Source organism: Homo sapiens, chromosome 7 (assembly GCF_000001405.40).
Source record: "Homo sapiens chromosome 7, GRCh38.p14 Primary Assembly".
NCBI lineage: Eukaryota > Metazoa > Chordata > Mammalia > Primates > Hominidae > Homo > Homo sapiens.
This window is the reverse complement of record NC_000007.14, coordinates 100923131-100937951: the sequence shown is the minus strand read 5'-3', so window position 1 is coordinate 100937951 and position 14821 is coordinate 100923131. Positions and strand designations below refer to the sequence as shown.

The 14821-nt window shown below is 46.5% G+C and overlaps 1 pseudogene, besides 3 other annotated features; it reads right to left on the bottom strand.

The window, feature by feature from the left end:
- Positions 4040-4541: an enhancer, noted in NCBI's record as "H3K4me1 hESC enhancer chr7:100531037-100531538 (GRCh37/hg19 assembly coordinates)". NCBI's record gives its function as "activates a minimal SCP1, AML or CMV promoter by ChIP-STARR-seq in primed H9 embryonic stem cells {active_cell/tissue: H9 hESC(primed)}" and the evidence as "EXISTENCE:reporter gene assay evidence [ECO:0000049][PMID:30033119]".
- Positions 8557-9513: an enhancer, noted in NCBI's record as "OCT4-NANOG-H3K27ac-H3K4me1 hESC enhancer chr7:100526059-100527015 (GRCh37/hg19 assembly coordinates)". NCBI's record gives its function as "activates a minimal SCP1, AML or CMV promoter by ChIP-STARR-seq in naive and primed H9 embryonic stem cells {active_cell/tissue: H9 hESC(naive and primed)}" and the evidence as "EXISTENCE:reporter gene assay evidence [ECO:0000049][PMID:30033119]".
- On the bottom strand, positions 9357-9613 carry RPS29P15 (ribosomal protein S29 pseudogene 15; annotated as a pseudogene).
- Positions 9514-10471: an enhancer, noted in NCBI's record as "NANOG-H3K27ac-H3K4me1 hESC enhancer chr7:100525101-100526058 (GRCh37/hg19 assembly coordinates)". NCBI's record gives its function as "activates a minimal SCP1, AML or CMV promoter by ChIP-STARR-seq in naive H9 embryonic stem cells {active_cell/tissue: H9 hESC(naive)}" and the evidence as "EXISTENCE:reporter gene assay evidence [ECO:0000049][PMID:30033119]".

The window sequence follows — 14821 nt, the reverse complement described above, 5'->3', positions numbered from 1 at the left end:
GTCGGGCATGGTGGCTGACACCCATAATCCCAGCACTTTGGGAGGCTGACGCTGGCAGATCACTCGAGGTCAGGAGTTTGAGACCAGCCTGGCCCCCGTCTCTACTAAAAACACAAAAAAATTAGTCGGGCATGGTGGCACACACCTGTAATCCTGGCTACCCGGAAGGCTGAGTCAGGAGAATCACTTGAACCCGGGAAGCAGAGGTTGCAGTGAGCTGAGATGGCCCCACTGCACTCCAGCCTGGGCGACAGAGTGCGACTCCACCTCAAAAAAAAAAAAAAAAAAAAAAGTCAAAAAAAAAGACCAGGTATAGTGGCTCATGCCTGAAATCTCAGCACTTTGGGAGGCAGAGGCTAGAGGATCCCTTGAGGTCAGAAGTTGGAGACCGGCCTGGGCAACATAGTGAGACCTCATCTCTACCAAAAAAAAAAAAATTTTAAATTATCTGTGTGTGTTGGTGTAGTGTGTGCCTATAGTCACAGCTACTAAGGAAGCTGAGGCAGGAGGATTGCTTGAGCCCAGGAGTCTGAGACTGCAGTGAGCCATGATCATGCCACTCCACTCCAGCCTGGGTGGCAGAGCAAGACTTTCCTCATATATTTAAAAAAAAAAAAACAGATGGCAGCAAGGCTGTGGAGAAAAGGGAACACTCATTCACTGTTGGTCAGAATGTAAATTGTTCAGCCATTACGAAGAGCAGTTCGGATATTTCTCAAAGAACTATGAGTCGAAGTACCAACCAACCCAGCAACCCCACTACTGGGTAACTATCCCCCCAAAAAATAAATTGTTCTACCAAAAGGACACCTGCACCCATGGCACAACAGTATTCACAATAGAAAAGACATGGAATCAACCTAGATGCCCATCTATGGTGAAAAATACAGTATACATACACCATGGATTACTACACAGCCATAAAAAAGAACAAAATCATGTCCATTGCAGCAACGGGGATACAGCTGGAAACCACTAGTCTGAGCTAACTAACGCAGAAACAAAAAACCAAATAACGCTTATTCTCACTTATAAGTGGGAGCTAAATATTGGGTGCACATGGACATAAAAATAAAAACAATAGACACAGGGACTATTAGAGGTAGAAGAGAAGGAGCAGGGCAAGGGCTGAAAAAATGATCTACTGGATACTATGCTCACTACCTTGGTGACATATTCATTCATACCCCAAAACTCAGCATCACATCATATACCTTTGTAACAAACCTGCACTTGCATCCCCTTTTTCTAAAATATTAATAGAAGTTGGCTGGCCAGGCGTGGTGGCTCACGCCTGTAATCCCAGCACTTTGGGAGGCCGAGGCGGGCGGAGGTCAGGAGTTCGAGACCAGCCTGGCCACTGTGGTGAAACCCTGTCTCTGCTAAAAATACAAAAATTAGCCTGGTGTGGTGGCAGGCGCCTGTAATCCCAGCTGCTCGGGAGGCTGAGGCAGGAGAATCACTTGAACCCGGGAGGTGGAGGTTGCAGTAAGCCCGGATCGTGCCACTGCACTTTAGCCTGGGTGACAGAGTGAGACCCTGTCTTGAAAGAAAGAAAAAAAGAGAGAAAGAGAGAAAGAGAGAGAGAAAGAAAGAGAGAAAGAACAGAAAAAAAGAAAGAAAGAAAGAAAGAAGAAAGAGAAAAAGAAAATTAGTTCTTCAGTTGCATTATCCATATTTTAAGAGTACAATGCCACATATGGCTGCTGTCTGCCATATTGGATCATTAGAGATAGAACATTGTCTTCATCGGAACAGGGTCTATGGCCGGAGCTGGGTTATAGCATGTCACACACATTTCTAAACACCTTCTTTGGCTCTCTGGTAAACAACCTCTGAAGTTTACAAGCACCTCTCGGCCTGTTACAGTAACAGCCTACAAACAAATTAAAAATTGTGAAGCCCAGGTTGTCCAGACCAGCAGTCCCCAAACTTTTTGGCACCAAGGACTGGTTTCATGGAAGACAATTGTTCCATGGACCAGGAGGGTCGAGGGGGACGGGTTTGGGATGGTTCAAGCACATTACATTCATTGTGCACTTTATTTCTATTATTATTATTATTGTTATTTGAGATGGAGTGTCACTCTGTCACCCAGGCTAGAGTGCAGTGGCACGATCTCGGCTCACTGCAACCTCCATCTCCCGGGTTCAAGAGATTCTCCTGCCTCAACCTCCCAAGTAGCTGGAATTGTAGGTGCCCACCACCACCCCCAGCTAATTTTTGTATTTTTTGTAGAGACAGTGTTTCACCATGTTGGCCAGGGCAGTCTCAAACTCCTGACCTCAGGTGATCTGCCCACCTCCACCTCCCAAAGTGCTGGGATTACAGTCGTGAGCCACCACACCCAGCCTATTTCTATTATTATGTCGTAATATATAATGAAATAATTATGCAACTTACCATAATGTAGAATCAGTGGGAGCCCTGAGTTTGCCTTCCTGTAATTAGATGGTCACAACAGGGGAGTGATGAGAGACAGTGACAGATCATCAGGCATTAGATTTTTCATAAGGAGCACACAACCTAGGTCACTCATGCACAGTTCACAATAGAGTTGGCACTCCTATGAGAATCTAATGCCACAGCTGATCTGACAGGAGGCGGAGCTCAGGCAGTAATAATAGTGTTGAGGAGCCACTGTAAATATAGATGAAGCTTCACTCGCTCACCCATCGTTCACCTCCTGCTCTGAAACCTGGTTTCTAACAGACCACAGACCCGGTCTCCTGAATATTCTTCCATTCTGAGAGAACAAGTAGCTTCTCAATCAGCAACCCAAAGCGATCACTTCACCAATGCTGACAGCCTACACTCAAGGGAAACATGCTAGACACCCCCATAGTTCTCATGTAAAATTCTATTATTGTCAAGTTTTAAACAACCTATTTCTTTTTTTTTCTTTTTTCTGAGATGGAGTTTCGCTATGTCTCCCAAGCCGGCATGCAGTGGCGTGACCTTGGCTCACTGCAACATCCACCTCCTAGGTTCAAGCAATTTCCCTGCCTCAGCCTCCCGAGTAGCTGGGAATACACGCGTGCACCACCATGCCCAGCTAATTTTTATGTTTTCAGTAGAGACAGGGTTTTGCCATGTTGGCCAGGCTGGTCTCAAACTGCTGACCTCAAGTGATCCACCTGCCTCAGCCTCCCAAAGTGCTGGGATTACAGGGGTGTGCCACCACACCTAGCAACCCATTTCTTTGGACTCCAAATTTGCTGATTTAATTTCTAGAAACTGAAAAATCCAGCGTGAGGTCACGGGACTGCATGTGTTTCCATGGGCGTTCTGGTGCAAAAAATAGAATAGTAAAATAAAATAAAATAAACGATCAAACAAGAAAAACCTCAGATTGTGAAAATGCAGAGAGAGAGAGGGGTACAGTATTCTAAACTAAAGCATCATTTGGGAGAAACTTTCTAGATAATGTTGAAGATTGGACAATTCCTAGGTGCCATCCTGTTTGAATCTAATCATCATGAAATTGCCTTTGGAGATTGTCTATAAAAAGAAACCCTGTTTGTTTTGTTTTTGTTTTTGTGAGACAGAGTCTCACTCTGTCACCCAGGCTGGAGTGCAGTGGCTTCATCTTGGCTCACTGCAACCTCAGTCTCCCAGGTTCAAGCCATTCTCCTGCCTCAGCCTCCTGAGTAGCTGGGATCAGAGGCCCATGCCACCATGCCAAGCTAATTTTGTATTTTTAGTAGAGGTGGGGTTTCACCATGTTGGTCAGGCTGGTCTAGAACTCCCGAGGTTTCCCCATGTTGGCCAGGTTAGTCTTATTCTCCTGACCTCAAATGATCCACCCGCCTCAGCCTCCCAAAGTGCTGGGATTACAGGAGTAAGCCCCCCAGCCAGGAAACCCTGTTTTGACAGCAAGGTTAATGGAGTTCTGTGGACTGGCTCCTGATGGGCAGGCCGAATAGCAGCAGGGCTGTGAATACCTCGGCAGTGGCTTTCATGGGTGAGTGGGACCATCTGATGGGCTGGGCAGGGCTCCCTGGATGGGTGGGGTTTCTTGGATGGCTGTGGCTTGCTGGCAGGTGGGGCTTCTTGGGTGGGCAGGGCTTCTTGAGTGGGTGTGGTTTCCTGGATGGGGCGTGGCTTCACGGGTGGGTGCAGTCTTACCACAGGGCCAGACCCCTAGGTAGGGGGAGGTAGAAATCCTCCTAGCCAGGTAGCTGGTACAGAAGCAGATGGTTGGTGGGGAAAGGAGTGGGGAAGGGACAGTTAATCTGGTAACTAAGAGCCTCTGGCCACAGTAACTCCAGAGTTGGACCACAGACACTATATTTGCTGCAAGGAGGGAGGATGGTACCAGAAGACACTGGAGTTGGGAGGACCAACCCCCAGGACCCTAACCCACTGTGCCCAGGTGGGAAACTGGTAACCTGGCCAAGGAGAGTGGTTTGGAGACCCCACTGAAACCGCCTTTGCAAAAATTATGACAGAGGCCGGGTGCAGTGGCTCACACCTGTAATCCCAGCACTTTGGGAGGCCAAGGTAGGTGGAGTGCTTGAGGTCAGGAGTTCGAGACCAGCCTGGCCAACATGGCAAAACCCGTCTCTACTAAAACTTAGCCGGACATGGTGGCAGGTGCCTGTAATCCCAGCTACTCAGGAGGCTGAGACAGGAGAATCACTCGAATCTGGGAGGTAGAGGTTGCAGTGAGCCGAGATCACCCCACTGTACTCCAGCCTGGGTGACAGAGTAGGACTCTGTCTTTAAAAAAAAAGAAAAAAGAAATTATGACAGTGAGTAAGACCCGACACAGGAAAATGATGGCAGTAAAATAATGTAATCTAGCTGACTTCTTCTTGCTTCTAGCCTCTAAACTGTCCTTGTTCATTCCTGGGCATAGGCTAGGTTAACTTGGGGAGGAATTTAATTTATGGTTTAAACTTAAAGCAAGGATGATAATAGCCCTTCCCAAAACTACCACCTGTTTGTTCTGGGACCAAACTGCCTTTGTAAAACTAATGACAACTCACAAGATTAGGATTATGGGGGTGTCTGAACTCTGCTAAAATGAAGCTAAAAGTTCAGCCATTGAGCTGGGTGCGGTGGCTCACGCCTGTAATCCCAGCACTTTCGAAGGCCGCGGGGGGAGGGGGGATGCGGATCATGAGGTCAGGAGTTCGAGACCAGCCTGGCCAACGTGGTGAAACCCCGTCTCTACTAAAAATACAAAAAAATTAGCCGGGTAGATGGTGAGCCTCTACCTCCCAGATTCAAGTGATTCTCCTGCCTCAGCCTCCCAAGTAGCTGGGACTACAGGCATGCACCACCAACCCCGGCTAATTTTTTTGTATTTTAGTAGAGACGGGGTTTCACCACGTTGGCCAGGCTGGTCTCAAACTCCTGACCTCATGATCTGCCTGCCTCGGCCTCCCAAAGTGCTGGGATTACAGGTGTGAATCACCGCACCCGGCCTCTTGAAAGTATTTTTACTAGGTATAGAATTCTAAGTTGACAGTTTTTTTTTTTTTCAGCACATGAATAAGATTCCATTGTCTTCCGGCTTCAAGGTTGCTATACAGAAGACTGAGCTTAATCTGTCAGGCCTTTAATTTTTTTTCTCTTGCTGCTTTAAGACTTTCTGTTTCGTTAATATTCTGAAGCTTCACCAGGATGTTTCTGGGCATGGATTTCTTTGTATTTATCATGCTTGGGATTCCTTGGCTTCTCAAAGCTGATAAGGTCTCTTCTCAGTTTGGGAAACTTGCCAGCCATTCTCTCTTCACATATTTTCTCTTCCCCCGTTAACTCTTTTCTCCAGGAACTGCAATTAAATAGAGGTTAACCCTTCCCTTTCTATTCTTCATGTGTTTTTAACTACTCTTCCGTATTTTCTGTCTCATAGCTGCTCATGAAGCATGTGGTGAGTTTCTTCTGTTCTCTCAGTTTACAGATTCTCTCTTCAGCTCTGTCTAATCTGCCACTAAAACCTCCTAATAAGTTTGTTTGTTTTTTTTTTTTTTTTTTTGAGATGGAGTCTCTCTCTGTCACCCAGGCTGGAGTGCAGTGGCACGATCTCGGCTCACTGCAACCTCCGCCTCCCGGGTTCACACCATTCTCCTGCCTCAGGCTCCTGAGTAGCTCGGACTACAGGCGCCTACCACTGCCACCACACCCAGCTAATTTTCCTTCGTACTTTCTTAGCAGAGATGGGGTTTCACTGTGTCAACCAGGATGGTCTTGATCTCCTGACCTCATGCTAATAAGTTTTTCAATAAACAAATCTACATTTTAATAAGTTATTGGATACACACATGTATTTATTACTGAAAATGGAAATAACATATCAAAATATCCTCCTTTCGCTATTCAAGTTTGTTGGGTTCTTTTGTTTGTTTTTTGAGACTGAGTCTCATTCTTTTGCCCAGGCTGGAGTGCAGTGGTGCCATCTCAGCTAACTGCAACCTCCACCTCCCAGGTTTAAGTGATTGTCCTGCCTCATCCTCCTGAGTAGCTGGGATTACAGGCATGCACCACCATGCCTGGCCAATTTTTGTATTTTTAGTAGAGACTAAAAATAGTTTCACCATGTTGGCCAGGCTGGTCTCAAACTCCTGACCTCAAGTGATCCGCCCGTCTTGGCCTCCAAAAGTGCTAAGATTGCAGGCATGAGCCACTGCACCCAGCCTCAATATTCAAGTTTTTTTAAAGGTAAAGACACATCTAGCTACATGTACCCTTCTCTAATGTTATGCTTTATCCAAACTACCCAATGTAAACTCATTTTATATATTCCTTCCACATAAATTTCTTTACTTCAAGTGTTTGATGTTAGGTCTGCTCTCATCTCATTGACTTCAGGATTCTAAACCATACATGTAATCCATGAGAACTTGTACTACCTGGAGCCAAATCAAAAACTAGAACTGAGATACCAAAGCATCAAATTACAAAGAGGGACAAAGGGAAAAAAAAAAATTTACGTAGTCAAAATCATATTTTGAGTTATTAAAAATTATTGGATTTTTGCTGGGCACAATGGCTCACGCCTGTAATCCCAGCACTTTGGGAGGCCGAGGTGGGCAGATCCTGAGGTCGGGAGTTTGAGACTAGCCTGGCTAACATGGTGAAACTCCATCTCTACTAAAAATACAAAATTAGCCAGGCGTGGTGGCATGTGCCTGTAATCCCAGCTGGTCAGGAGGCTGAGGCAGAAGAATCACTTGAACCTGGAAGGCAGAGGTTGCAGTGAGCCGGGATTGTACCACTGCACTCCAGCCTGCGTGGCAGAGTGAGACTCATCTCCAAACAATAACAATAAAAATAAAAATTATTGGATTTATGCTTTCACTTAGAGTAAAAAAGCCACAAGAGGCTGGGCATGGTGACTGACACCTGTAATCCCAGCATTTTGAGAAGCCAAGGCAGGAGGATCGTTTGAGGCCAGGAGCTCAAGACCAGCCTGGGCAGCCTAGCAAGGCCCCCATCTCTACAAAAAGTGCAATAAAATTAATACATAAAATAAATCCACAAGAGACTATCACTCCTACCATAAAAAGAAGAAAAAGCTGGGTAATCTATAGGTTTTGGCATTTCTTGAGCCCATCAGAAATTTAGGCTTCAAGGCAACCAGGTGAACTGAGGTCCAAAGAGTGACCGCACCCTCTCAGGAGAGACAGGACACATGAAAAGTTCCACCTTTGTCAGAGCACAGGAGGAAGAAGTGGCCACCAAAAAAGCAGGTGATAGGAAAACAACATTTTAATGAATTCTCAGAGGCCAGGAGTGGGCCAGCATGACAACTTAGAATCCCCCTGGGTGCATCAGGATCTAGCAGACCCCAAGTTCACTCGCAATCTCTTTTCCACCTCTTGGTGCTCATGAGAAAGATTGGAGGTACAATGAGACAAGAAAGAGGCTCCCTCAGTGGTTCTCAGGCATGAACCCCCTCCTACCTCCCAGAACCTTGTCTCACAAGAAGCAGAAGGACTTAAGCCTCAGGGGAAGGGGCAGGAATCCTTCCCATCCCCTGAGGACAGGCAAAGGTTCACTCCTGGTGGAAGTAAGGGTACAAGTAAGGCCATGTATTTCTGGGGGAGGGATAGGACCAGCCCCTCATTACATGGTGAGGGAGGGTTGAAGCAAAATCTGCCCCCTTGGGAGGGGCAGGAAATCTCCTGGCTAAATCACAAGCTTTGCACCTGTAAACCAAAAAGAAAATTCTAAGCCCCCCAACCTACTGAGCGGACTCCTTCTCGCCAAGGGCATTCCAAAGTAAACCTGCAAAACTAGTTCAGGCCATGATGGGAAGGAGTGTTGGACATGCCTCATTCTGCCCTCATCTCTTTGGAATTCAGGCACAACTGACCAGCATTAACATCAACACAGAGATCTTAAGGCTGACAAAACAGACTCTTTGTAGCAATAAGATACCAAATTCCAACCTGACTGAAGTACAGCATCACATGACAGATAGCAGGTCCTGAAAGAAACAGAAGTATTTTACCCCAAAATAAATTTTTCTTTGACATATTTTGAAACAGCCCTGCAAATCTGTCTCTTGTAGGGAAAATCTACACTGTGTAGAGAGTCCCCTTCCCTTTCCAGGTCTTCTCCTGATTCAGGAGAGATATAACTAAGAGTCTGGCACCTTTTTAAGTCTGATGAGAAACACTTACCATCTATTCTCTCTGAAGCCTGCTACCTGGAGGCTTCATCTGCATAACAAGAACCTTGGTCTTGGCTCATGCCTGTAATCCCAGCACTTTGGGAGGCCGAGGTGGGCAGATCACAAGGTCAGGAGATCCAGACCATCCTGGCTAACATGGAAAAACCCTGTCTCTACTAAAAATACAAAAAATTAGCCAGGTGTGGTGGTGTGCACCTGTAGTCCCAGCTACTCGGGAGGCTGAAGCAGGAGAATCACTTGAACCCGGGAGGTGGAGGTTGCGGTGAACCAAGATTGCGCCACTGTACTCCAGCCTGGGCAACAGAGCGAGACTCTGTCAAAAAAAAACAGGTGGTCTCCACAACCCCTTATCTTTTTAAAAAATGTTTATTTTATGTGCAAAGAGCTATCATGGTTTTTTGGGGTTTTTTTTGTTTGTTTGTTTGTTTTTGACGGAGTCTTGCTCTGTTGCCAGGCTGGAGTGCAGTGGCGCTATCTCAGCTCACTGCAAACTCCACCTCCCGGGTTCAAGTGATTCTCGTGCCTCAGCCTCCTGAGTAGCTGGGATTACAGGCATATGCCACCACGCCCAGCTAATTTTTGTATTTTTAGTAGAGACGAGGTTTCACCATGTTGGCCAGGATGGTCTCGATCTGCTGACCTTGTGATCTGCCCACCTTGGCCTCCCAAAGTGCTGGGATTTCAGGCGTGAGCCACCGTGCCCGGCCACTATCATGGTTTTTCACTGGGTACATGCGTTGGATAAACCTTTCAAGGAAGGTCAGTTAGTGCAACTTAATGAAACCGATATCTTTCCTGTACTGACGGAAACACTGGCAGTACATATTGAGGGCATATTTACAGATCAGACCATGCCGATTTGGGCCGATGTGACAAGAATGAAAACCCTGGCCGAATATTCACTGGTGGCTCTAGTACAGCTGCTGGTGACCCATCTTGCTCTCAGAAGTGCAACAAGGTAAAAGGCCACAACCTCTTATTTTTAAACCAGACACGCCTTTCTGTTGATTCCAGGTCTTTAGATCATAACTTTACTCTTTCGACCAATTTCCAATCAGAAAATCTTGGAATTTACCTATGATCTGGAAGTCCCCCTGCCCCACACCCCAAATTGTTCCATGATTCCTGAGTGAACAAATGTACACTTTACACGTATTGATTGACGTATGCCTGTAACTTCCATCCCTCTAAAACGTATAAAATTGGCCGCAGGGGCGCACACCTGTAATTCCAGCAATTTGGGAGGCTGAGGTGGGCGGATCACTTGAGGTCAGTTTCACTTGAGTCCGTGTGAAGAGACCACCAGGTTTTGTGTGAGCAATAACGCTTTTAATCACCTGGGTGCAGGCGGGCTGAGTCCGAAAAGAGAGTCAGTGAAGGGAGAGAGGGGTGGTCAGTGAAGAGAGAGTCAGTGAAGGGAGAGCGGGGTTTTATAAGATTTGGGTAGGTAAAGGAAAATTACAGTCCAAGGGGGGTTGTTCTCTGGTGGGCAGGGGTGGGGGTCACAAGGTGCTCAGTGGGGGAGCTTTTGAGCCAGGATGAGCCAGGAAAAGGAATTTCAGAAGGTAATGTTATTAGTTAAGGCAGGAACAGGCCATTTTCACTTCTTTTGTCATTCTTCAGTTACCTCAGGCCATCTGGATTTATACGTGCAGGTCACAGGGGATATGATGGCTTAGCTTGGGCTCAGAGGCCTGATTTTCCTGTCTTCTTATATTAATAAGAAAAATAAAATGAAATGGGGTAAAGTGTTGGGGCGGCGAAAATTTTGGGGGGTGGTATGGAGAGATAATGGGTGATGTTTCTCAGGGCTGCTTCGAGCGGGATTAGGGGCGGCGTGGGAACCTAGAGTGGGAGAGATTAAGCTGAAGGAAGATTTTGTGGTAAGGGGTGATATCGTGGGGTTGCTAGAAGAAACATTTGTCGTGTAGAATTACTGGTGATGGCCTGGATATGGTTTTGTATGAATTGAAAAACTAAATGGAATAAGAGAAGGAGAAAAACAGGTATCAAAGGACTAAGAATTGGGAGGACCTAGGACATCTAATTAGAGTGCCTAAGGAGGTTCAGCACAGCCTTGCCAGCAAAGATTATTTATTTACTTTAAGAGTTAAGAGAGGCGGTTTGGGGATAGCACCAGGAGATACCAGCTGTGATGGCTTGGAGAAACAGTGTAAACTGGCAGTGTAAACAAGAGCAGGGCATTTATGAGTAGTTGAGAACAGTGAATAGGAGTATCACTAGACAGAAGATAGTAGGAATGACAAGTTTTTGGGGGCACAGTCTAAGTTGGTCTGGTGTCTGGAATAAGACTGGGGCCTAATAAAAAGGAGTGTCTATACAGGAGCTTAACTGGGCTGTACCTTGTAGCATTGTGAGGACAGGCCTGAATTCTGAGAAGGGCAAGTGGTAAAAGTATTGTCCAGTCCTTTTTAAGTTGGTGGCTGAGCTTGGTAAGGTGTGTTTTTAAAAGACCATTAGTTCACTGAATACTAAGAGCCTGAGAAACTGCTTGGGTGATTTGACTAATAAAGGCCAGTCCATTATAGGACTAGAGGTGGGAAGGCCAAACCGAGGAATTTTGTCTAAGAGAAGGGAAGAAATGACCGTGGTGGCCTTCTTAGACCCTGTGGGAAAGGCCTTTACCTATCCAGTGAAAGTGTCTACCTAGACCAAGAGGTATTTTAGTTTCCTGACTCGGGGCATGTTGAATAAAGCCAATTTGCCAGTCCTGGGTGGGGGCAAATCCCTGAGCTTGATGTGTAGGGAAGGGAGGGGGCCTGAATAATCCCTGAGTAGTAGAATAGCAGATGGAACACCGAGAAGTTATTTCCTTGAGGATAGATTTCCATGATGGAAAGGAAAGGAGAGGTTCTAAGAGGTGGGATAGTGGCTTGTTCTATAGCATAGCCTGCCTTTACTGGTGTGTGGTGATTAGGCCTGGTGGAACTGCCATCAATAAACCAAGTGTGATCAGGGTGAGGAACAGGAAAGAAGGAAATATGGGGAAATAGGGTGAATGTCAGGTGGATCAGAGAGACACAGTCATGGAGGTCAGGTGTGGTATCAGGAATAAGGTGGGAGGCCAGATTGAAGTCCGGGCCAGGAACAATGGTAATTGTGGGAGACTCAACAAAGAGTACAGCTGAAGGAGCCAGGGAGTAAAAAGTATATGTGTCAGGTGTGAGGAAGAAAATAGATTTTGGAAGTTATGAGAACTGTAGAGAGTGAGTTGAGCATAGTTTGTGATTTTAAGGGCCTCTAAAAGTATTAGGGTGGTGGCGGCCGCCGCACGCAGACTTGAGGGCTAGGCAAAACAGTAAGGTCAAGTTGTTTGGATAAAAAGGCTACAGGGCGCAGTGTGGGTTCTCGTGTAAGAATTCCAACTGCACAGCCCTGCACTTCGGCTGTGGGTAATGAAAAGGGTTGGGATGAGTCAGGGAGAGCTAGGGTGGGGGCAGTCTCTAAAGCTGTCTTCAAGGAATGGAAAGAGGAGTGGGGAAAGGATTTAGGATCTATGGGGTCAGCTAGGTTTCCTTTTGTGAGTTTATATAATGGTTTTGTTAGGATGGCAAAATCAGGTACCTAAAGTCAAAAGTATCTAACCATGACTAGGAAGGAAAGGGGTTGTTGTTTTGTAGAAGGTGCTGGGGTTTGAGAGATCAGTTGGAAACGATCAGCAGGGAGAGCATGTGTGTTTTTATGAGAATTATGCTGAGATAGGTAACAGATGAAGAAGAAATTTGGGTTCAACTGAAGGAATGGGGGCTGTCTGTGAAGCCTTGAGGCAGTACAGCCCGGGTAATTTGCTGAGCCTGATGGGTGTCAGTCAGGCCAAGTGAAAGCGAAGAGAGGCTGGGATGAAGGGTGCAAAGGAATAGTAAAGAAGGCATGTTTGAGATCCAGAACAGAATATTGGGTTGTGGAGGGAGGTATTGAGGATAGGAGAATATATGGGTTTGGCACCGTGGGGTGGATAGGCAAAATAATTTGGTTGACAAGGCGCAGATCCCAAACTAACCTGTAAGTTTTGTCTGGTTTTAGAACAGGTAAAATGGGGGAATTGTAAGGGAAGTTTATAGGCTTTAAAAGGCCATGCTGTAGCAGGCGAGTGATAACAGACTTTAATCCTTTTAAAGCGTGCTGTGGGATGGGATATTGGCATTGAGCGGGGTAAGGGTGATTAGGTTTTAATGGGATGGTAAGGGGTGCATGATCGGTCACCAAGGAGGGAGTAGAGGTATCTTATACTTGTGGGTTAAGGTGGGGGGATATGAGAGGAGGATGCAAAGGAGGCTTTGAACTGGGGAAAAGGGCAGCAATGAGGTGTGGCTGTAGTCCAGGAACAGTCAGGGAAGCAGATAATTTAGTTAAAATGTCTCAGCCTAATAAGGGAACTGGGCAGGTGGGGATAACTAAAAAAGAGTGCATAAAAGAATGTTGTATAAGTCGGCACCAGAGTTGGAGAGTTTTAAGAGGTTTAGAAGCCTGGCTGTCAATACTCACAACAGTTATGGAGGCAAGGGAAACAGGCCCTTGAAAAGAAGGTGATGTGGAGTGGGTAGCCTCCGAATTGAGTAAGGGGACGGACTTACCCTCCACTGTGAGACTTACCTAGAGCGTCTGTGATGGTCCTGTAGGCTTCCAAGGCGATCGGGCAGTGTCAGTCTTCAGCCACTAAGCTGAGAAGATCTGGGAAGGAGTCAGAGAGCCTTGGGCCAGAGTTCCAGGGGCTCTGGAAGTGGCTGCCAGGTGAGTTGAACAGTCCAATTTTCAGTGGGGTTCCACACAGATGGGACACAGCTTAGGAGGAATCCTGGACTGTGGGCATTCCTTGGCTCAGTGGCCAGATTTCTGGCACTTGTAGCAAGCTCCTGGGGGAGGAGGTTCTGGAGGAATCCCTGGCAGCTGCGGTTCAGGCATTTGGAGTTTTCATGTGCTGGAGATGTGGCTGGGGTTTGTCTCACAATGGAGGCAAGGAATTGCAACTCAGAAATACATTGCTACTTGGCTGCCTCTACTCTATTATTGTACACCTTGAAGGTGAGGTTAATTAAGTCCTGTTGTGGGGTTTGAGGGCCAGAATTTAATTTTTGGAGTTTTATTTAATGTCAGGAGTGGATTGGATAATAAAATGTATATTGAGAATAAGATGACCTTTTGACCTTTTAGGGTCTAGGGCTGTAAAGTGTCTCGGTTGCTGCCGAACAAGCCATGAACTGGGTTGGGTTTTTCATATTTGATGAAAGAGCCTAAATGCTAACTGATTTGGGAGAGTTCAGATAAAGAAAAAGGAGCATTAACCTTGACTATGCCTTTAGCTCCAGCCACCTTTTTAAGAGGAAATTGCTGGGCAGGTTGGGGAGGGCTAGTCGTGGAATAAAACTATAAGCCAGACTGGGTGTGAGGAGGGGAGGTGATAAAAGGATTATAGGGTGGGGGAGCAGAGGCTGAGGAAGAATTAGGACCTGGCTCAGCCTGGCGAGGAGCAGCCTGGGGAAGAGGGGAGAAGTCAGATGGGTCTGTAGAAAAGGAAGATTAGAAAGACTCAGCAACGCCTGGGGTTGGGACTGAGAGGACAGGCAGGAGGGAAAGAAGGAGGATTTGGGACAAGTCACATTGGGAACAGACAGTAGGAAGGGAACAATGTGTAAAAGAATGCCTGGATGTCAGGCACCTCAGACCGTTTGCCTATTTTATGACAAGAATTATCTAGATCTTGTAGGATGGAAAAATCAAAAGTGCTGTTTTCTGGCTATTTGGAACCACTGTCGAGTTTGTATTGGGGTCAAGCAGCATTGTAGAAGAAGATAAGGCATTTAGGTTTAGGTCAGGTGTAAGTTGAAGAGGTTTTAAGTTCTTGAGAACACAGGCTAAGGGAGAAGAAGGAGGAATGGAGGGTGGAAGGCTGCCCATAGTGAAGGAGGCAAGCCCAGAGAAAAGAGAGAGTAGAGACATAGAGAGAAGGCGTCAGGGGTGCTTGCCCCCTAGGAAAGTGGAGAAGGGGTAGAGACATGGAGAGAAGGGTTCAGGGGGTTCTTGCCCCTCAGAAAAGTGGAGAAGAGGTGGAGACACGGAGAGAAGGGGTTGGGGGATTCTTGCCCCCTAGAAAAGCAGAAAAGGGGTAGAGACACAGAGAGAAGGGGTCAGGGGGTTCTTGCCCCCCAGAAAAGC